This window comes from Homo sapiens, chromosome 15 (assembly GCF_000001405.40).
Source record: "Homo sapiens chromosome 15, GRCh38.p14 Primary Assembly".
Lineage (NCBI taxonomy): Eukaryota > Metazoa > Chordata > Mammalia > Primates > Hominidae > Homo > Homo sapiens.
In genome coordinates this window covers 62,576,393-62,599,733 of record NC_000015.10, presented here as the reverse complement: position 1 = coordinate 62,599,733, position 23,341 = coordinate 62,576,393, and the positions used below count along the sequence as shown (strand labels likewise).

At 41.6% G+C, this 23,341-nt stretch overlaps 1 protein-coding gene across 2 annotated transcripts in view; it reads right to left on the bottom strand.

The window, feature by feature from the left end:
• The window catches only part of TLN2 (talin 2), a 454,082-nt gene that overhangs the window by 244,898 nt on the left and 185,843 nt on the right, over positions 1–23,341 (bottom strand). For both annotated transcript variants that reach the window (NM_015059.3, NM_001394547.1), the window contains exon 2: positions 9,972–10,047. The gene's annotated coding sequence lies outside the window, so the exon portion shown is untranslated. The remainder of the gene's footprint in view (positions 1–9,971; positions 10,048–23,341) is intronic.

Genomic DNA, 23,341 nt, shown 5'->3' with positions numbered 1-23,341 from the left:
GTGACCAGAGCCAAAAGTTCTCCTGCAGGAGAGACTGAGTCACTCCTCATCCCTTAGAGATAAATAAACTGAAGAATATAGAACATATCTGGGAAATATTTAGGATCAGGTAAAAAGGCTTTGTAAACTTCACTGATGTTTCCCTCTCTTGATGAACGGTTGGGGTCTGCCTCAGATTTAAATTTTCCAAATAGATTTGTGCCACTAAATCATTTGTATCCAGTTTTCACTGGATTTGTAAAGCTGTGAAGATTACTGATCTTTGTATAATAGAGTAAAAGCTGTCACATACAGATTACAAGTCTATTTGCTCAGCATTCTATCCCGTCCTTACAATCAATCAATATAAAAAATTTCAAGTCACAGTGAGATCACTGTAAGTTAATGGTAGGGTAACCTCGGACTGCTTATCACTAACAAGTTTAAATGTGGGACATCACCCTTGGTCATCACTGCAACCAGTTAAATATTGACTCCCCTCTATCCCTTTAGACTTGACCTCACTAAAGCCAAATGTCTCCTCCTTAAGTAACTGAGGCCCAGCTCTAAAGATGTTTCCTTTTATTCAATACCTGTTTGGGGGCATAAACATCATTGGCCAAGATGTTTGGAAAAGAAGTATATTTGCACAGAGACAGCACATGTTAACGCCACCACCCTGGCCTGACACAGAGGTGACAAGGAGGAACTCCATCCACAGCCACCCCATCCTCAATGTGCTATTCCAGGGGAAAACAGAGAAGAATTCTTTGGTAACAGGTCTGTGGAAAGACTCCTGGTTCCATGGTCAAGGCTTCCTCTAGTTCTGTCTAGTGAGGAGGAGTGGGAAGGACACCAACACTGTGCACGGGTCCCATCGCCCAGGGCACCTGCCATCCATCCGGTCACTACCATAGGAGGTAACTCACAAATACCAGGATACTAAAAGATTTATTCAGACCACCATTCTGAATTTACTTTGAGCACTTCTATTTTCTCTCCATTCCTGAGAGAAAATTCCATTTCTCTCAGGAATGGAGAGAAAAGTTGATTATCTTTCTAAATTTCCTTCCAAAATAACTACAAAAATATATGAGGCATTAAAAAAATCAAATGTACTTGACTTACACACACACACTTCAGGCTATGAGGAAATACAATAATGGTCATTGATAAAACACCTTTTCCCATTTACCAGCAGGGTTGGGTAAGAGGTCCAGCTTCTCCCATCAAATTCACCAAGGGAACATCGAGCAGAGAAGGATGTTCCCCTGTCCACGCACAGCAGAATTCTTTAGAATGAGCTCCTGGCCATAAGGCACACCCACGACAAGGACAAGGCTGGGAACGAGGCAGAGCTGACTCTGCTAGAGAAGCAGCGATTTTCTGGGGTAAAGACAGAGATCTGTGGAAGAACGTGTCCAAGACGTGGCAGAGACAGAGAAGTCTTTTCCCACCTATAAAACACAGCCGACCACCACGCTCTCAGCCTGCCCCAGGATCCAAGAAGCACTTCCCACTACAGGAAAGGTCTCAGAAGTCACCCACCCAGGGTCTAACTTCTTTGTGTGTGAAATGTCAGTGATAACATCTGTTCTACAAGGCTTGTGTGAGAATTTCAAGAGACACCAGGCTTCAAGGATGTAGGTGCCTAAGACATCAAGTCCTCAATAAATGATGGCAAATTTTATAGATCAGGCCACTGCCCCATCCAACACACGACAGCCTGGGGTGATTCTCCAATACAGGTTGAGCATACCTAATCTGAAAATCTGAAACCTGAAATGTTCCAAAGTCTGAAACTTTCTGAGTGTTGCCAAGACACCACAAGTGGAAAATTCCACACCTGAACTCATGTGACATGTCACAGTCAACATACAGTAAAACTTTGTTTCACGCACAAAATTATTTTAAATGATGTATAAAATTACCTTCAGACTATGTGTATCAGGTATATGTAAAACATAAATAAACTTCATGTATAGACTTGGGTCCCATCCCAAAGACATCTCATTATGTATATGTAAATATTCCAAAAATCTGGAAAAAAAAATGAAATCTGAAGCACTTCTGGACCCAAGCAGTCTGGATAAGGAATGCTCAAGCTGTAGTAATCACGAGCTTTCCTTGGCCACTGGCATTTGCTGAGCCCTGTGCAGTGTACCTAGAGATCAACCTGTCCTGACCAAGGAGGGCGGGCTGTGAGAGCAAGACCTCCAGAAACAAAGCGGGCTCCTGAGAGAGGCGATGGGGTGACTGAGAACCCAGAAGAACTGGAGGCTAGCTTCAAGATAGCTGCTGCAGTATAAAAGGGGAATCCATTTAAACATACTCCACTGAGGGGCAAAAGGGTGAGGACTTCAGGCTCTGAGGATTAGAATCCCACTCTACAACTAGGTTCCGATGGGAACAGCATCTACTTAATCATAATAGAGGAAATACCACTTACTGGTTTTTAACATTCAGAATCTAGAGATAAAATCATGGAAGCCTTTACTGAGTGAGATTGAAGAACAGAATATAAAATTAAAGGTACAGCTGCCTGAAATTGAGGGGTTGGACTGGGAGCATGTTGGTGGGAGACAACAAATAGTGTATCTAGGAGACAGAAAAAGAAAAAGGCTGGCTGCCTGTGTCATCTGAGGGTGCAAAGGGGAACAGCAGGACTGAAAGCAAGAATCAGCTTTAGGGAGGCAGGGAGATGGGGATGGTTAGAGAGAACTAACAGCGTGATCTGCCATCCCAACAAGCTACCATGAAACAGCCTTTAAGATTGACAAAGTGAGGAGCTGAGTTGCAAGCACCATGTTTTTACGTGTGGAAGCCCCCGTAAAAGAAGCAAAAACAATCTACAGGAAAAAAAGTAGTTGCTCTAAGAAGTAGAAATAAGTGAAGGAAGGCAAGATGCTGTTGCTTTTCACTATAAGCTTTTCTGTAATGTTTCCTACTTTTAGCCATTTGCATGCAATACTTTGACTTAAAATTCATAGTTATTATTATTTTTTTTTTTTTTTGAGACAGAGTCTTGCTCTGTTGCCCAGGCTGCTGGAGTGCAGTGGCATGATCTCAGCTCACTGCAACCTCTACCTCCCAAGTTCAAGCCATTCGCGTGCCTCAGCCTCCAGAGTAGCTGGAACTGCAGGCACGCACCATCATGCCTGGCTAGTTTTGGTATTTTTAGTAGAGACGGGGTTTTGCCATGTTGGCCAGGCTGGTCTCGAACTCCTGACCTCAGGTGATCCACTCACTTTGGCCTCCCAAAGTGCTGAGATTAGTCATGAGCCACTGCACCCAGCTTTGTAATTAAAATTTTAAAATATATTAACAAATAAAAGTTATAGAACATGCTATAATGTGTCATTTTTAAATATGTATATCATAGAATGACTAAATCAAGCTAGTTAACATATGTTAACGTATTTTTTTTGTGATAAGAATGCTTAAAATCTACTCTGAGCAATTTTCAAGAATACCTTTTTTTTTTTTTTTTGAGATGGAGTCTTGCTCTGTCGCCCAGGCTGGAGTGCAGTGGCGCAATCTCGGCTCACTGCAAGCTCCGCCTCCTGGGTTCACGCCATTCTCCTGCCTCAGCCTCCAGAGTAGCTGGGACTACAGGCGCCTGCCACTGCGCCCGGCTAATTTTTTGTATTTTTTTAGCAGAGACGGGGTTTCACCATGGTCTCGATCTCCTGACCTCGTGATCCACCTGCCTCGGCCTCCCAAAGTGCTGAGATTACAGGCGTGAGCCACCGCGCCTGGCCAAGAATACATTATTAACTGTAGTCACCATGCTGTGCAACAGAGCTCTTGAACTTATTCTTTATATCTAACTGAAATTTTGTATCCTTTGAACAACATCTCCCCAGCACTGGTAACCACCTCTTTCTACTTTTCTGAGTTCAAATTTTTTAGATTCCACATGTAATTAAGAACACGGGTATTTGTCTTTCTATGCCTACCTTATTTCACTTAATGTAATGCTCTCCAGGTTCATCCATGTTGCTACAAATGACAATTTCCTTGAAGGCTGAATAGTATTTCACTGTGTATGTATACCACATTTTCTTTATCTATTCATCCAATGATGGACACTTATGTTGATTCCATATCCCAGCTACTGTGAACAGTGCTGCAATGAACATAGGAGTGCAGACATCTCTTCGACATGTTGGATTAAGGGATCATATAGAAGTTCTATTTTTAATTTTTTGAGGAGTCTCTAATCTGTTTTCCATTATGACCATATTAACTTACATTCTTTCCAGTGATGTACAAGCATTCCCTTTTCTCCACATCCTCACCAACACTTGTTATCTTTCATCCTTTTTTTTTTTTTTTTTTTGAGACGGAGTCTGCACCCAGGCTGGAGTGCAATGGCACGATCTCAGCTCACTGCAACCTCTACCTCCCAGGTTCAAGCGATTCTCCTGCCTCAGCCTCCCAAGTAGCTGGGATTACAGGCGCCCACCACCACGTCTGGTTAATTTTTGTATTTTCAGTAGAGACGGGGTTTCACCATGTGGCCAGGCTGGTCTCAAATTCCTGACCTCAAGTGATCCCCCACCTCAGCCTCCCAAAGTGCTGGGATACAGGCGTGAGCCACCGCACCCAGCCCATCTTTCATTGTTTTGATGATAGCCATCCTAACAAGTGTGAGGTACTATCTCATTGTGGTTTTAATTTTCATTTCCCTGATGATTAGTGATGTTGAGTATTTTTTCATATACTTGTTGGCCATTTGTGTATCTTCTTTTGAGAAATGTCTATTCAGATTCTTTGCTCATTTTTAATAGGGTTGTTTTCTTACTATTGTTTGAGTTCTTCATATATTTTGCATAGTAACCCCTTATCAGATGCATGATTTACAAACATTTTCTCCCATTCTGCAGGCTGTCTCCTCACTCTTGTTTCCTAAGCTTTGCAGAAGCTTTAGTTTAATGTAATCCCATTTGTCTATTTCTGTTTTCATTGCCTGCACTTTTGTGTTTATATCCAAAAACATCCTTGCCCAGACCAATGTCACAGAGCTTTTCCCTTATGTTTTCTTTTAACAGTTTTACTGTTTCAGGTCTTACATAGATGTCTTTCACCCATTTTCAGTTGATTTTTGTATATAATGTGAGATATGGTCTAATTTCATTTTTCTGCATGTGGATATCCAGTTGTCCCAACACTATTTATTGAAGAGACTGCCCTTTCCCCATTGTGTGTTCTTGGTACCTTTGTCAAAAATCAATTGAGGTGGGTGAGATGGGCATGGTGGCTACGTCTGTAATCCCAGCACTTTGAGAGGCTGAGGTGGGAGGATCACTTGAGCCTAGGAGTTTGAAACCAGCCTGGGCAACATAGGGAGACCCTCTCTCTCCAAAAAAATTAAAAATTAGCTGGGCGTGGTGGCACATGCCTGTAGTACTAGCTACTCAGGAGGCTGCAGTGAAAGGATCACTTGTGCCTAGGAGGTCAAGGCTGCAGTGAGTCAGGACTCACCACAGCACTCCAGCCTGGGTGTCAGAGAGAGATCCTGTCTCCAAAACAAACAAATAACAACAATAAAAATCAATTGACCGTAACTGTGTGGATTTATTTCTGGGCTCTCTATTCTGTTCCACTGGTCTATGTGTCTGTTTTTATACCAGTACCCATGCTGTTTCGATTACTATCACTTTGTAGCATATTTTGAGGTAAGGTAGTATAATGCCTCCAGCTTTGTTCTTTTTGCTCTAGATTGCTTTGGCTATTCAGGGTCTTTTGTGGTTTCATACAGATGTTTCTTATTTTTATCCATTTGCATGCAATATTTTGATTAAATTTTTTAAATAAAAGATCCTCCATAAGATCATTGTTTACATCACAGCAGCAGGATTTTCCTCAACGTTTATCAGGCTTTATAGTGGTGTGTTGACAGCACTGCAGCTGGCCTTACATGTGTTTATTTTAATCTTGGTAAAGTCATGTTTACACTCTATAAGTAGTACACTAGTTATTTTATGGATTTGGAAAGCTGTCCAATTCTGATTTGTTGTAAACAGAATAGAATGGCTTTAATGGCCATTTTAGATCTTCCCAGTATGGAATTTCGCAGCTAAAAAAGAAAAGTGATTGTTTTCAAAGGTTCAAGTTCTATAGAAAAATACTCAATTGCAGATAAATGTATTCTAGAGTCATCGAGTCCATGAAATCCAATCAATTCTTACATAGAAAAGTCTCAGATCTTGAGTTCTCCAGGGGGGCTTCTTAATGTGGAAAGAAATTAACTGATGAACATAATTAGCCAAAAAATGCATGGAAACAGCATACCCTATTATACCATGGTTTAGTAAGTTTAATTATGAAAAATAGCCTGGAAATTGTTATTGTTGTTCTGAAACATTTACTAAGCACAAACAGCAGAGTGAGGAGCGCAGCCTAGGTCCAGGAATCTTGATTGACAGTGCTAAGAAGAACTCTCAGTCACTCAGGGAGCCTGCAGGTGGGAGACCAAATGATGCCTACAGTCATCAAGAAGCATAATCCAAAGAATCAGCTAATGGAGGGTGGCAGGAAGACAAAAGTGCATAACAGGTTACATTTTTAATGAAGGAAGCATGGAACAACTTCTCTTCACTGACGTCATAGCCCTTAAATGACTGGTACAGAATGACAAAGAGCTGCAAAGATCCTCCTTTGAATTTCACAGATTCAACAATTCTCCCTAAATAGCAGTGGGAACTAAAAATTCCCTGAGAGCCAAAAACAATATTTTTCATTGAAAATAGATTTTAAAATATTTTTCTTACAAGCTTTCAGGGAACACAGAGATAAGGTCAGAATATTGCATTTAATCTCAAATCCAGAATATATCACAAGTCATTACATAAAATGCCAAACAAATCATTTATCATTCCCCCACCCCATCTATCAATCACCCTTTTCTCACATGCACACACATCCATGAATGCATGTAACTCTTTAAAGCATCATGTTTATTCCTGCAAAGCGTGGCCGTCTCAAATTCTCAACTGCTCATCCCTACAAGATCTCATCCAGAATGTCTTAGCCTTGTGAAAGACTCAAGAGCATGATTGATTGGTTACATTGTTCATTCATTAACTTTTATTCAGACTTTGGACTGGTCCACATCACTTAAAGCAATTCTCCTTCCTCTGGTTTATGTCAAAATAAAAGCTCCTCCTAGCATTTATTCAGACTTTATATACTTTCAGACATGTTAGGACTTCAGGTAATCTCTCATATTACTATACATTTAAAACAAATGTTTCTGTTGTTGTTCAATACAGCTTTTTCCTAAAAAGGGAAGAGAATAAACATTCCTGGGTAGAGGAAACCCATGTGAAGCATACCAATTAGGCAGCAAACCGAGAGTTGACACAACAGAAAACAACTAGGTAAGTCTGTCAAATTTCATTTGGGTTTCCCAGAAAATCAGAATGTTAAGACAAATGAAAGCCAGAAATCACTAAGGGACAATTCCAAAGGACTGAATCACCATATTCCAATCAACGCAGAGTACACATAACTTCTCAGGACTCTCAGAAGCAGCTAGGATTGTGCAGGCTTCTTGGAACAGGTATTGCTGCTCTTCCCCACATCATTTTACTGTGCTAAATAATTCAGTCCTTTATTCCCTCTGTCTTCCTCCCACCCTCCTCCTTATACACATCCCCATACCCCAAGGGGAAGTAAACAGAAAGCACAGTTTTCCATTTCCCACAGATAACGGCTTAAGAATCCACCCAGAACACTCCTTTCAGATCTGAAGTCTTGGTAACGGCATAGATCTGATGTGTTTCCCGGCCACTGTGCCCCAGGTCTTTTAGCCAGATTGGACCACTCAGCACCCTCTGGGGGTCCTCAAAGGACAATATCCACCCCTGGATTCTCAGACGGTCCTCTGGTCAGGAAAGCTCTTCTCCATCCTGAGCACACCTGATCCCATTGCCATCAGCTCGGAACTCTGAGCTGTGCCCTCGACCTCCACACCCAGCCTGGAGCTCCTCACACCCAAGGTATGCACTGGTCTCCTTGGAGTCCAGTATTCTACCCGCCTCACCCCTGGCTCTCAGCATCCCCACATGCCAGTCAGATACTTATCTGTCAGATCACATCTGGCCAGAGGCTGCCCCACAATGGTGGGAAGGAAGGAGTCTGTACACTTCCATCAGGTTACTTAAAACTGTCAAGTTTTGTCTTTACCTTGACCATGGTGTGACTCAAAGCTAAACTGGATGTTCGCACAAATGGGCCATTTTTACTCAAGGTTCCCAATAGAATCCCTTCTGTATGGCCCTCTGACCTCTCTAGTTTGACCATGCCAGATGTCACAGCATTTTCTGGAAACAGGCAATGTACAGGTAAAGTACCTTTCTTTCCTGCTTCAGAGGAATGATACAGTCTTAGAGGCAGAAGAGCCCTCAGCAGTCATGTGTCCCAGTATTTCCCAAACACCAGTTCTCAGACCAATTTTGGTTAGTCTATGGCTGCTAGTCACTGGACTACAGAGAAATGAGGAAGACATAGGAAATAAACAGCATTTTCATAATGCTAAATACATACAATCTAAAGACAAATTTAGGAATAATCCTATTCTTTTAGTATTATTTTCTCTTTGGCAAAATTATATTAGTAGATGGTAGTTATTTTGTGAAAATAAACCTTTGATTATTAAAAATTCCACACACAAAATACAAAGAACAGTATGTAAATATATAGTGAACCCTCATTCACCTATCCAGCTTTAATCATCAACTTTCTTTATATACAGCCAAAAAAAAAAAATAGAAATAGGTCCTGACTTTTTTTTTCCTATTCCACAAAATTTTAAAGTAGAGGCATGACCAGGTTAGACCAATCTACATAATTTCCAAAGAAGAGAAGGAAACAAAGATTAACTAACCTGTCCCAAGTTCTGCAGCTGGTCAGGAACAGAACTGATACATCTGGGTGTGCCATGATACAGCTACCGAGTAAGAGCATCAACTAAGACCGGCAGAAGAACCCTGTGTCTCTGCCCAGGATGCTTCGTACACACTACTTGGGATCACACAACCCCCCCAGGACAACCAAAACTGGAAAACAATAATCTACAACCAAAGTTTACTTTATCTCATGCTAGAACAATTGTTTCCCAACCATGGAGGGCTCCAGCAACCACCAACCAGTTTCAGTTCAAAGACTACTGGAGATATCAATGACAGACTAGATAAAGAAAATGTGGTACATATACACCGTGGGATACGATGCAGCCATAAAAAAGAACAAGATCATGTTCTTTGCAGGAAGATGGATGGGGCTGGAGGCCATTATTCTCAGTAAACTAATACAGGAACAGAAAACCAAATACCACATATTCTCACTTATAAATGTGAGCTAAATGATGAGAACACACGGAAACAATGGGGAAGAGAGGAGAACAACACACACTGGGGCCTACTGGGGCATGGAGGTTGGGAAGAGGGAGAGGATCAGGAAAAATAACTAATGGACACTAGACTTAATACCTGGGTGATGAAATAATCTGTACAATGAACTCCCATGACACGTTTACCTACGAAACAAACCTGCCCATGTACCCTGAACTTAAAATAAAAATTAAAAAAAAGACCACTAGAAGTTTCTACATTAATTCCTTACCCAGCACTTACCCCCTCACGTCACACTAAGAAAAGATTTATGAAGCAAACCAGTGTGAGTGAATGAGAATTCACACTATAAGGTCCAATATGATTAAAACAAAAACAAAAACAAAAACAAAAACCCAGCTACTCAGCTCCTCCTCTGGGCCCCTACCATCACCTCACCAAGCTACCAGGAGGAAAAATCAGACAGGAATGGGAATATTAGGACCGGGCACTCTTCACACCTGCCTCGCAAAACCACAGTGAAGATGAAACGAGACAGCATAACAGACAGCAGTTTTAACACTTTACAAAACTATACCAATGCAGGGGATTGGCCAATTGATAAGAACAAAGTATCTTTGCGAAAGGACTTACCTTAAATTCTCAGTTTCTATTAAGAGCGTATTTCCCTGAAGATATCCCAAAGCATGTGAGAAGCCTCCTGCAGCACCTAAAATCATAATAACAATCATCAGAATCAAGTAATGTTTTTGAAAAAGAATCTCAATCTATACATTTGGTCATTTCCCCCACACTAAGCATGAAAGGAAATAACTCAGGAAACAATGAATTTCTGCCACAACACATGGGCTGGGAATTTTCTTTACCCACAGGGAATTCAGGTCCCAAGACACTTATTTTGAAGACCAAAATTATGTTACTGCTGGCAGAGAGACAAAACACATTTTCTTCTTCCTTGTGGTAGGAATGCTTTAATGGCTTTGAATTTAAACAAAAACCAAATACAGACATCCACCTCCCTCAATGTCGAAAACAAAAATCTCAGGCATTGCACTCTGCTTCTTTTTAAAATTAGTTTACATGAGGTGCTCTTGTCTTCTTTTTTTCCTATTTAGCTCCTCTAACACATCTGTGAAGTGGTCCCTTCTTGATTTTGCTGTTCCCATGTGGCTCCTGGTTCTCTAAGGCACTGGGAACTTGCTCCATGGAAACCCAATTTGAAGCAGAGAAGCACTATAATCAATTGTAGAAATCAACAAAATGGCCTAGCCACAGTAAAGGAACAGGCGCCTGTGTGAGAACACACACACGTTATCTACGAAACAGAATAAACATCCAGATACAGGATTCATATGAAACAGTCCCAAGTACGTGCAATCAAATCTGGGTGGGTATGACAGACTAGTTAACAAATGGTGTTGTTTAGCATTTAGGAAAGAAAACTCTACATCTCTCTCTCCCTACTTATGGAAGAATAAACTCAAAATAAAAGCAAATGAGTACCAGTACTCATTTGCTAGTTTGTTATTTTATTTTTTGACAAAAGTATCATTGTTTTTAAAATTTCTGCTCTATTTTTGCCATTCAAAAATTTTAGATTAAAAAAATTGTTACTAGCTACATGTCTCAGTCCTTTATAGTTGCATATTTTGGTGTCATTCTTAAAAAGGCCTTCATATGTATATTTCATATATATATATATATATATATATATATATATATATATATATGAAAAAAATGTATATATATATGTATTTTTTTTTAAGATGGAGTCTCACTCTTGTTGCCCAGGCTGGAGTGCAATGGTGCCATCTCGGCTCACTGTTATCTCCGCCTTCCGGGTCCAAGCAACTCTCCTGCTTCAGCCTCCTGTGTAGCTAGGAAGGTGCCCATCACCACACCCAGCTAATTTTTGTATTTTTAGTAGAGACGGGGTTTTACTACGTTGGCCAGGCTGGTCTCGAACTCCTGACCTCAGGTGATCCATCCACCTGGTTCTCCCAAAGTGCTGGGATTACACGTGTGAGCCGCTGCGCCCTTATTTCTTTATAGTAACAAAAACAGACTAAAACAGTCTTAAAAATAAACAAGAAAATTAATATTCCCTTCAAAATGGATAAAGCAAATTAACAAATTTTTCATGTCTTAAAAAATATAACAGCAAGAAACATATGAAAAGATAGCAACTATACTAACAATAAAAATATGTAATTTTAGGCCGGGTGCGGTGGCTCACGCCTGTAATCCCAGCACTTTGGGAGGCGAAGGCGGGCAGATCACGAGGTCAGGATATCGAGACCATCCTGGCTAACACGGTGAAACCCTGTCTCTACTAAAAATACGAAAAATTAGCCAGGGGTGGTGGTGGGCGCCTGTAGTCCCAGCTACTGTGGGGGCTGAGGCAGGAGAATAGTGTGAACCCGGGAGGCGGAGCTTGCAGTGAGCCGAGATCACGCCACTACACTCCAGCCTGGACTGCAGAGTGAGACTCCGTCTCCAAAAAAAAAAGTAATTTTAGAAAGTGGAGACCTTATTTGTACCTATCAGATTGGTAAAGATGACAAAGACTGACAATAAATAACCAATGTTATAGGCACTTTCATGAACGGAATATAAATTGGAAACGTCATTCTGTAGCCACCTGGGAGATTATGTCAGCATATAAGATGGCATGCCCTTTGATTCAGCAATCCTACTTCTAAGAATTCACTCAAGGTAGATAATTATGGAAGCAGGGAGATGGATACACATGGCATTGTTTATAATTATGAAAGGAGGAGGATAAATGCCCCTAAAGGCCCACAGATATGAGACATGTTGAGTAAACCACATAGACATTGAAAACAATGTTGGAGGTCTATATTTATTGATATGAAAAGATATCCATTATATACTTCTGAGTGAATAAAATAGGTAAATGACCATATGCAGTATGATTCATTTGTGTGTGTGTATTCTTGGATGTCCAGAGAGATGTCTAGAAGGATGTTTATCAAAATAGTTATGATTCTGGTTATCAAAATGTTAGATGATTTTTACTTCTTATACTGTTTAAATTTCATAAAATGAGCAATCATTATTTTTCTAAAGAATACAATGGAGCTACTTAACTTTTAAAATCTCGTGTTGAAGTTAAGGAATACACGATATCAATGTCCACTCTCCTTCTCTGTCACAATTTTTCCTCCCTGACTTTACTGACATTCGTGCACACATGTGCTCTTAGTGAACACTGAGTAGGGAGTTACCTTCCTCAAATCAGCTGCCATTCATTTCCGAGGGTCATGTCACCCCTGCCTTTGGGTCCCTAAGATACTCTATAACCTTCTTATAAGTCTCCCTTTTCACTTATGCTGGCTAGAGTGAGTGTGTTACTGTGACCAATGGAATCCCATCTATCTTTCTCTTTTCCATCTATCTTCTCAATCATCCCATACCATTTGAAAACACAATAATCCTGTAGTCATAAGAATGAAGATTTACCACACAATTTCAACTAATGTTTATGTACTACAGCTAAAGTAACTGAAGAAGCTCAAAGCCGCTATGAAAATAGGCAAAAATCTATTTCAAGAGACAGGTAGATTCATTCCTGACTAACAAGGGAATTGATGAAGAGATTTTCTGAAGAAGAATAAAAACAAAGGAGACATAATTGTACAGATGGGCCATTTCTTGTGGTTAAAATACTTTCCATTATAACATGTGTAACCACTTCACAGATTTATTTTTATTGGGTTATATTTATATATGAAATAATGTTTTCTATGGAGATTATAAAATACAGAAATGTATCCCCATAATGGGCCCATAACGTTAACTTTATCTCTAGCAAACAAATTTATTGTTCTCATTTTGCTTTATTTGTAAAAGTTTAGGAGTCCCATGTAATACATGTATCTTCATAACGGCATAATTATAAACTTGGCTAAAAAGTCATAATTCCTTGTAGATGCACAAATCTTTTTATAGATATGTTGGATATAAAGTACAAATCTAATTAACCCCCTTCATCTGCTGGCAGCTCCTTCTTCCCTACAAAATTTCCCTAGAAGTTAGACAAAGGACAAGAACCACTCTCCAATTTCAGAGATGAGCAATCATGAGACTTAACTTAGATTAAGCATCTGCGACTCCAAAGTACAACACACCCCTTCCCACAACACATGGGCCACCCAGTGTGAATTGCTGGCCTCTCTGTTCTGACCCCCTTTAGTGCGAAACAAGTCCACATTTGCGACGGAGATGCATCGGGATTTAAGAGACAAAACGTTGCATTTAGGGAAAGCAACAGCACAGCAGTTAAGAGAAAGGTGTCCAATCCTGGTTGGATCATTTACTAGTCATCCGGCTTGGTATGCCTTAACCTCTCTGTGCCTCAGTTTCCTCTTCTGTAATAATGCCAAGGGCAGCTGTGAGGTTAAAGGAGATAATATGTCTGATGCAATCAGCAATGCTCAATAGTCACTGAGCTCCCTTGCGCTCCAGCTCAGGGGGTGCCATGATGGAAACAGCTCATGCTAGAAACTCATTCATTGCCTGATCATAACAAGGTCCCTAGAGAACGCTGAGACAGAACATGTCTCCAATGGAAACACACCTACCTGTTTAAAATGCCTATTATGAATATGGATAAGATCTATCCAAGCAAATAGGAGCTTATTTCAAAGGGACCAGGAGCTTGCTATTTAAAGTAAACTTGCTTTAAAGTAGCCTTCTCCAGAGTAACATACAATAAATCATTTAGCAGCTCCCATGATGCGCCTTTTCTGGAGTATTCCGAGAAGCACAGAAAGATGTGAACAAAAATCAGCAAAAGCTACACCTAAAATGCCTGTCACCAACAGCAGGACATTAATGCAGGCCTTAACTCTGCTCCTGCATCCCCAACCCCTTCCTACTTGCTCAGGGAAGCTTAAGTACACCTCTCGGAGTACATGGTTGCTCATCGTAAGAGCAGAAATGATCATACTCATACTTAGCTATTTTGACTGTTGTGAGGATGAAATGAGAGAGCATACGTGAAGTTTTTAGCATGGTGTCTGGAATCCAATAAGTATTTGGTAAATGATACACCTAATATTATCATCTCAACAGCATTAAAGAAAAAAGACACCCATTAAGTAATCTGATGGAGACCATACCTGGCAGTTTTTCACCATGAGAGTTTTATAGACTGGTTTTCCTCGTTTTACTTGGCGTAATCCCCACAGGAATGTGGGTGTAAGTTGAAGGGGATCTGGAGTGTGCAGGATGTATGCAGCTGAACCCTCACTATGTGCTTTAGATCCCATGCAGCCAAGAACCCATTTGTCATCAAATTCCATTAAAAGGCAGGGAACAGTGTGACACCACACTCAGGCTTTGCCCTGACATCAACTGCATGTGTGTAAAAATCAGAATATGGGCTCATATGGGCCCCAGCCCAAGTGTTTTGCTCTCTTAAGTTAAAAAAAAGCTTTTATAACCTAAGACCAGGTAAAGCAGAGAAAATCCAATAGGATTAGCTGAGGATGAACTAGCATTACTCTTGGCTTGAAGTGATCACTAATTTTTGACACATTTACTACTAATTATTCAAAATCATAAAATCCAAGAAGCAAACGAATAAACCAAAAGTTCTTTGGCAGCCGTACACAGACATGGGAGAAGCCGAGGAACAATTTTGAAAACAAAATGTCCCAACTTCCACCACTTGCCAAGGACTTACTTGTTTTTGCTGAAGTCTTGGGAATGCTATAATTTGAAGTGTAGCCCAATGATTAGAGTCCAGCTCTGCTAGGTCAGAAGATATGAGACTCCAAGGGGAGATGCCCAGTTCTCTGCTCATGGCTTCCCTGCACTGACTTTCCAGCTAGAGGCTGGGGGTTGGGCCAGGGTCAAAGGAAACTCAATGAAGAGCAAGTAGACAGCGTCAACACCCAAGGACCTCAGAGATGACAATATGCTACGTTGCCTTTTTGCAGGACAAAGAGAAAAGAGTCCTAGTAGAAAAGCCCCAGAAATCCTTTTGTATTGCTCTAAAAACAGCATTCCAGCAAACTAGGAGGTAAAAAGTGTTACATGCAAAAAAGATTCTCAGTATAAAGGGGGCAAAAGCTGGTTTAAACAAAATTAAGGAGTTTCTCCAATGCAGAATATTTTGGATGCTTTCACTTGCTCATGTTGATTATGAGTAAGTAGCTCTAACCTTATGTGTGCACAGAGTTCCTTTATTTTTGTGGTCTATGTCTTGGGACCAGTGTCCCACGCAATACTTTGAAAAATAATGTTATAATTAGTTCTTTTATGTAAATAATTGTTGAAAGCTCATTTTGTACCACTACATTCACAATTAAATGATGAAGCACAATTCATATAAGTGATCAGGTAATGGTGCCAACAATATCAATGCAAAGTAGTGTAAAATATATGCTTACTAGGAGGGCAAGAAAAGAGATCACATTGCACTGCTTTAATTCACACTGTCTTTATGAGCTTTTCACAACCAAAAAAAACAGAGATGCCATGAATTCTTTATTGTTCACTAATTCACTGACCCTCCTCTCTTAAAATTTTAAAAACAGTTATGATAAAAATCAATTAGTAATAGGTGTAACTAGAATGCAAACTCCATGAGAACAGGAACTCTACTTGGTACAAAGCCATATCCCCAGCCCTTGAACAATTTGACTACATGAATCTAAGAATGAATAAATAAGCTGTTCTTAAACATACTACTACTACCTCATTTTATGAACTGGCCAAAATATACTTTATACACTTTTATATTTTAAATTGACTTTGAAATGTTCACAATAAAATCAATTTTTATTTCTCTTTTCTGAAAGAAGTTTTCTCCCCCATTTTTTTCTCAGCATAGTCTCCCATCTTTTGTAATCCAAAAAAAAACAAAAAAAGAAGGGCGAGAGGAGAAAAGAGTATTTCTCTTTATGACTTCTGGGTTAGAAGAAACTTTTTGTCTCTAGACCAACTATGATATTCAGTACATTATTACAGCCAATTGTTTTCAATAGAAGTCTAATTAACTAACATTCAAATGCCTAGGAATTTCAATTAGTCAGACCAACACAGAGGGTCTCCTTTGGGGGAAGGAAAAAGAAATGCATTCATTTTTCAGAAAAAGGCAACTCTACAAAAATAAGCTTTTAACACTGATTTCCTGAAAAAAGCAACTGGCCATGGAATATGGGTATCAAGAAATATCCTATACTATTAAATTACACTTAATATTCTGAACATAATGTTTAAAATAACCCTGAGATGTTACAACACCTTCAAATGGACAATTACAAACTTAAATGTTTTTGCTAAACTCCATTATAACAAAATCTGGCAATGCATTTTAGAAAAATTTGAAACAATTTTTGTTTTCCTTTTTTTTAAGGAGGCAATGGAGGAAAGAGCAGGGATAAAGTGTCTAACTCTTCCTTGGTCATTCAGCAAATTAAATTAACTAAACCCTTCCCCACCCTCAATTCCTTATACAAAGCAGTTAATGGCCAGGGTTTTCCTACTGGCAATCCTCAACTTCTGGTTGGGCTACACTCTGATCTACCGTGGCAGCCTTCCCAGGCCCACCTGCTTGCCAGCTTCCCTCCAACAGGTTAAATCAGGTAACACAGTCACTGGGACCAGTCCCTACAAACTCAAGGCCAAGTTCCTGGGCTGCAGATACCCACTTCCTCACCTCCTGCCTGGCGTGCCCTGGGAGTCTGTGCTCTACCACCACTAAGCCAGTGCACCTTATGTCCCCTGCCCTCTGAGCTGTTTTCCCCTAAGAGGGCTTTGATGCCCACTCTTACATGTCTACAATGCCGTCCCCACACCCCCATTCAATCTAGCTGTCCATCAAGTTCCACCTGCTCCAAGGAGACTTCATTGACCACATCTCAATTTCTGTACTTACAAAAGTTTGTTGAAATAATCTATTTACATGTCTGTATTTCGCCACAGACTGTGAGCTCTTACAGGGCAAGAACTATGGCTTCTCCCATATTTTTATCCTCAGCTCAGAGCAGTTTCTTATACACATTAAGTGCTCAATGAATGACTGAAAAATAGTGACTCCAAGAAACTGGGGCAGACACAGGGGGCCCCAAAAAACTGGGGTACAGCAGCAGGGTCAGGAATGGGTCAGGCATGAATGTGTGTGTGTGTGTGTGTGTGTGTGTGTGTGTGTGTGTGTGTGTGTGTGTGTATGCATACACATGCACTGAAGTTATGGCTGGCTGATTCTATGATCATTCTCCCTGGGACTTCAAGGTACCAGCTTAAGCCCTCGTTTTCCTCTCTCAGTCCCAGTGATTAGTCCACCATTCACATGTTTTTCTTTTTCTTTTTTTTTTTTCTAGACAGAGTTTCACTCTTCTTGCCCAGGCTGGAGTGCAGCGGCACAATCTTGGCTCACTGCAAACTCCACCTCCCAGGTTCAAACGATTCTCCTGCCTCAGCCTCCTGGGTAGCTGGGACTACAGACTCATACCACTACGCCCGGCTAATTTTTGTATTTTTAGTAGAGACAGGGTTTTGCCATGTTGACCAGGCTGGTCTGGAACTCCTAATCTCAGGTGATCTGCCTGCCTCGGCCTCCCAAAGTGCTGGGATTACAGGTGTGAGCCACCGCACCCGGCCCACTATTCACTCTTTTGCTACAAACCTGGGGTCTGTGAATAAACTTCTCGACTCTTTGGTCTGTTGTCAACTAGGGAAATACACTATTTTACATTTATGCCTTCCTTCCCACCTCCAAAGCAAACAAAGGCTTTCACGGTATAACAATTGGAGAATGAAACAAAAAGATTCCCCTCTGTACACTATTCCCTCATCCCTGAACCCTAAGAGCACAAACGTGCTCTTATTCTCTTTCATTCCAACTTGGACCCTTTAAAAGAGCACAAAGCCACAAAGAATACCAACAGTAGAACCTGATGAACACCATAGGTAAGTGTTATTCATCAACTACTTGAGTTTTTCTTTTGGGAAAACAGAATGAGAGGTTCCAGTAAAAAGAGCAAGAAGGTACATGTACACAATAGAATACTATTCAGTGCTAAAAAGAAAAGCGCTATCAAGTCATGAAAAGACATGGAGGAAATTAAATCCACATTACTAACAGAAGAAGCCAATCTGAAAAGGCTACATACTATACAATTCCAACTCGATGACATTCTGGAAGAGGCAACACTAGGGAGACAGTAAAAAGATCACTGGTTGGGCCGGGCGCGGTGTCTCACACCTGTAATCATGGCACTTTAGGAGGCCAAGGCAGGCGGATCACTTGAGGTGTTAGGAGACCATCCGGGCCAACATGGTGAAACCCCATCTCTACTAAATATACAAAAATTAGCCGGGCATGGTGGTGGGCGCCTGTAATCCCAGCTACCTGGGAAGCTGAGGCAGGAGAATCACTTGGACCTGGGAGGCGGAAGTTGCTGAGAGCCGAGATCCTGTCATTGCACTCCAGCCTAGGCAACAAGACCGAAACTCTGTCTCAAAAAGAAAAAAAAAAAAAAAAAATCAGTGGTTGCCAGGGGTCAGGGGGCGGGGCGAAGGCAGGAAAAAATAAGCAGCACTGAGGATTTTTTGGGCAGTGAAACTACTTTGCATGATACTATAAAGGTGGATGTGTATCATTCTACATTTTTCCAAATCAAAAGAACGTGCAACACCAAGAATAAACCCTAGCCAGGTGCAGTGGTGCATGCCTATAATCCCAGCACTTTGGGAGGCGAAGATAGGTAGATCACTTGAACTCAGGAGTTAGAGACTAGCCTGGGCAACATGGCAAAACCCCATCTCTACAAAAAATACAAAAATTAGCTGGGTGTGGTGGTATGCGCCTATAGTACCGGCTACTCGCGAGGCTGAGGTAGGAGGATTGCCTGAGCCTGGGAGGTCAAGGCTGCACTGTGCCTAGATCTCGCCACTGTACTCCAGCCTGAGCAACAGAGCAAGACAATGGGAAGGAAGGGAGGGAGGGAGGGAGGGAGGTAGAGAGGGGAGAAGAGAGAAACTCTAAGGTAAACTATGGTCTTTAGGTGGTAATGATTTGTCAATATAGGTTCATCAACTATAACAAATGTACCACCCTAGCATGGGATGTTGGTAATGGGGAAGCTATGGGTACAGTAGATATAAAGGAACTCTCTGTACTTCCCACTCAATTTTGTTGTAAACCCAAAACTGCTCCGAAGAAATAAAACCTGTTAAAAATAAACAAAATATTTTTTAAAATACAGAGAGAAAGAGGTGTGGTGCTGCAGATGCCACCCAGGCACTGAAGCCAAGGAACTCCCTGTGGGAGATCTCCCCACTGCAGGCCAGGGCCTGGGAGAGGTGTAGAGTGACACATGTTGGCTTGGCCTGGGGAAGCAGCGATGGAGGATCTGGGATCCTCCTGGCCAGGTAGAGATCCTTTGACTGTATCAGAGCACTCGGGTTGAACAGGTGCTGCACACACAAGGCTCCACGCTGCTAGAACTGACCCTGGGAAGGTGCATGCTCCTCCATTTTTATTCTCACTGCCACCCTGACCATTAGCTCGAGGACTATTCCTACATGCTCGTAACCTCAGCAACTGCTTCTACAGTGACACAATCCAGCTGAAGGACATGCAGAGAGAGAATGTGACTTCCTCAAGTGGTGAATCTCACCTGAGTTTCCTTGCCAGTGGAAACTCTGTCATCTGTAATGAAGTATCTCGGGTCTGTAGCTAGGAGAAGGAGGGGCATCCTCTTCAGGGGACACGTTCCTATGAATACTCACACTGGCTCCATCCTCCAGCCTGCAAAGCCTGGCTGCCTGATGCCGTGAGCCAACACACCACAGCATAAATGCAACAGGAAGAAACAATCAAAGTGTACTGTGAGTCTTCTCAGCCCCCAGCAACCTAAGATAAGTATCACAAACAAGAACACGAGGTCATTTGAGAGGATTCTGCTAATCAAGACCGAATTAGATACTCAGGTATACATAATGCGGAAATCAGGAATACTCACTTTCCATAAATAAGAACCTGTCACCACTTGGCCCTGATTAGCAGTTATTGTAACCCTCAAAATTCATCTTTCCCAAGTGATTTTTCTATGCTGCTCTCTCTTACCATGTGAAGGCTGGTTTTCATAAAATTGCCACCTGATGTATTTCTCCAAAAGCTAAATTCCTCTTCTCTTTCCTCACATGGCCAGTGATTTTTTTGCATATTCGCTATGGCACCTTTCATGCAAAACCAAAACACCTTCTAACAAACTGTACTTCCTCTTCTCAGTATATTGTGAAAATTAATTCTCCTCAGCCTTGTTTCCCTCCTCCTGTCAACCCAAGGCCCCCATTTTCTAAGATGCTCTTTCCCCTGTGGTTCCTCCTACTCTTGCATTTCTCTAAATTTTCATGGGTTTTGTAGGTTTCTCTGCATAAAATGGCAACTCATTCTATCATGTTGTATTCTTTCTAACACCAGTCCACAACATAGGGTGCTAAGACTACACAGAGAAGGAATATTCAAGCACCCAGCACCAAGCCTGGCACCAGGTCACCCAAGGCCAGGGGCATCCTTGCTCCCTGACTAAGTCCTCCATGCCTCACTCTGCTCCCCTGTAAAAGGCCGATGCCAGGGCCTCCCTCACGAGCTGATGCGAGGGACACACGAGCACAGCACACCTGCAATAAATGTGGACTTTACCCCCCTCCCCACATGCGGCCTCTCAGCTCTCTACCTGGAATAAAATCTCTGTGAGCAGGATGGGGATTCACACCTTTCCTGTATTTCTTTAAAGCATTTTCATGAAGTGGAATATGCAGGAGATGGGGGTTTTTGTTTGTTTGTTTTGAGACGGAGTCTTGTTCTGTCACCCAGGCTGGGGTGCAGTGGCGCAATCTCACTCACTGCAACCTCCACCTCCCGGGTTCAAGTGATTCTCCTGCCTCAGCCTCCCGAGAAGCTGGGATTACAGTCATGCACCACCACACCTGGTTAATTTTTGTATTTTTAGTAGAGACGGGGTTTCACCATGTTGGCCAGGCTGGTCTCGAACTCCTGACCTCAGGTGATGTGCCCACCTCAGCCTTCCAAAGTGCTGAGATTACAGGCGTGAGACACCATGCACAATGGTATTAAACAATGTTTTCCAGTTCCTGGTGGTTCTGGTTCTTGTTGGGTGATGAGATTTTGTAACTTATTTACCACGTCATGTACCATATACATGTTTAAAACTTTCTTTTAAAAAAGTTAAATACATACAATGTTTATTGTGGCACTATTCACAATAGCAAAGACTTGGAACCAACCCAAATGTCCATCAGTGATAGACTGGATTAAGAAAATACGGCACATATACACCATGGAATACTATGCAGCCATAAAAAAGGATGAGTTCATGTCCTTTATAGGGACATGGATGAAGCTGGAAACCATCATTCTCAGCAAACTATCACAAGGACAGAAAACCAAACACTGCATGTTCTCACTCATAGGTGGGAGTTGAACAATGAGAACACATGGACACAGGACAGGGAACATCACACAATGGGGCCTGTTAGGTAGTAGGAGGCTGGGGGAGGGATAGCATTAGGAGAAATACCTAATGTAAATGACGAGTTGATGGGTGCAGCAAACCAACATGGCACATGTATACCTATGTAACAAATCTGCACGGTGTGCACATGTACCCTAGAGCTTAAAGTATATTAAAAAAAAATTTTTATAAGTTAAATATATACAAAACAAAGAAAACATCATCATGAACCCCTATGTACTCATCACTCAGCTTCAACAATTACTAACTCACGGCCAAAATTATTTCATCCTAGGCCCCCATTTAATTCCTTCCCAGAAATCACTGGAGATTATATTGAAGCAAGTATCATATATCAGATTCAAATATAAGAATTTTATGAAGTAGTTCTTTTGTTTGTGTTTTTTGTTTTTGTTTGTTGTTTTGTTTTGTTTTTGAGATGGAGTTTTGCTCTTATTGCCCAGGCTGGAGTGCAATGACGCGATCTCGGCTCACCACAACCTCCGCCTCCCAGGTTCAAGTGATTCACCTGCCTCAGCCTCCCAAAGTAGCTGGGATTAAAGGCATGCGCCACCACACCCGGCTAATTTTGTATTTTTAGTAGAGATGGGGTTTCTCCATGTTGGTCAGGCTGGTCTCGAATGCCCGACCTCAGGTGATCCGCCCGCCTCAGCCTCCCAAAGGGCTGGGATTACAGGCGTGAGCCACCGCGCCCGGCAAAGTAGTATTTTCAACAATAAGAAGCATAACAAAGCTGTTTTCCCTAAGAAAACAAATTCTCTACTCATTAAATAAAGTTACAGCCATCATACTCTATCTGATCCCTGTTGCACACAGTAAGATAAAGGTGACCCAGGAAAGACACAGCAGGCCTTAGTTGATTCCTGGTGGCACACAGCTGGCCAGGTGACCATGGGCAGGACACCTGCCCTCCCAGACCTCACTCCCTGGGGCTAAAACCAGGACATAAGGAATCCTACTCCACTCGCCTACATGAGCCCCTGCTCTCACGGGACAGCAAGGACTTTCTACTTCCCTATTTATGTTCTCAGTGTTTCCCTCGGATTTCCAGAATCAGCTCCTCTAGACAGAGTAACTTAGCTCGTACTTGCTCTTTGTCAAAAATAGAATGAATAAATATATATATATTCAAACAGCAAAGTCTTCTCGAGGAACAAATTTCCTCCATATTACTCTTTTATGTGGGGGGCGGGGGGGGGAATCATTCCATTATCTTTTTTTCCCCTCCAGTCTCTTAAAATGCAAAAAAAAAAAAAAAAAAAAATACAGAGCAATGTCTTACTCATGTCTCTCTGTGGGTCTCTGTACTTATGGGGCAAGTATCAGCAATTCTCGCGCTCCCTCCCTGCCCCTTGGATGAGATGGCCAGTCTACCCCATACAACTCACCTGCTAAAAAATAACCTATGAGGTTGGCAGGTGCCTTTGGGGAGGGTGCAACCCCTGAGGGTCCACTGCTATCCCCTCA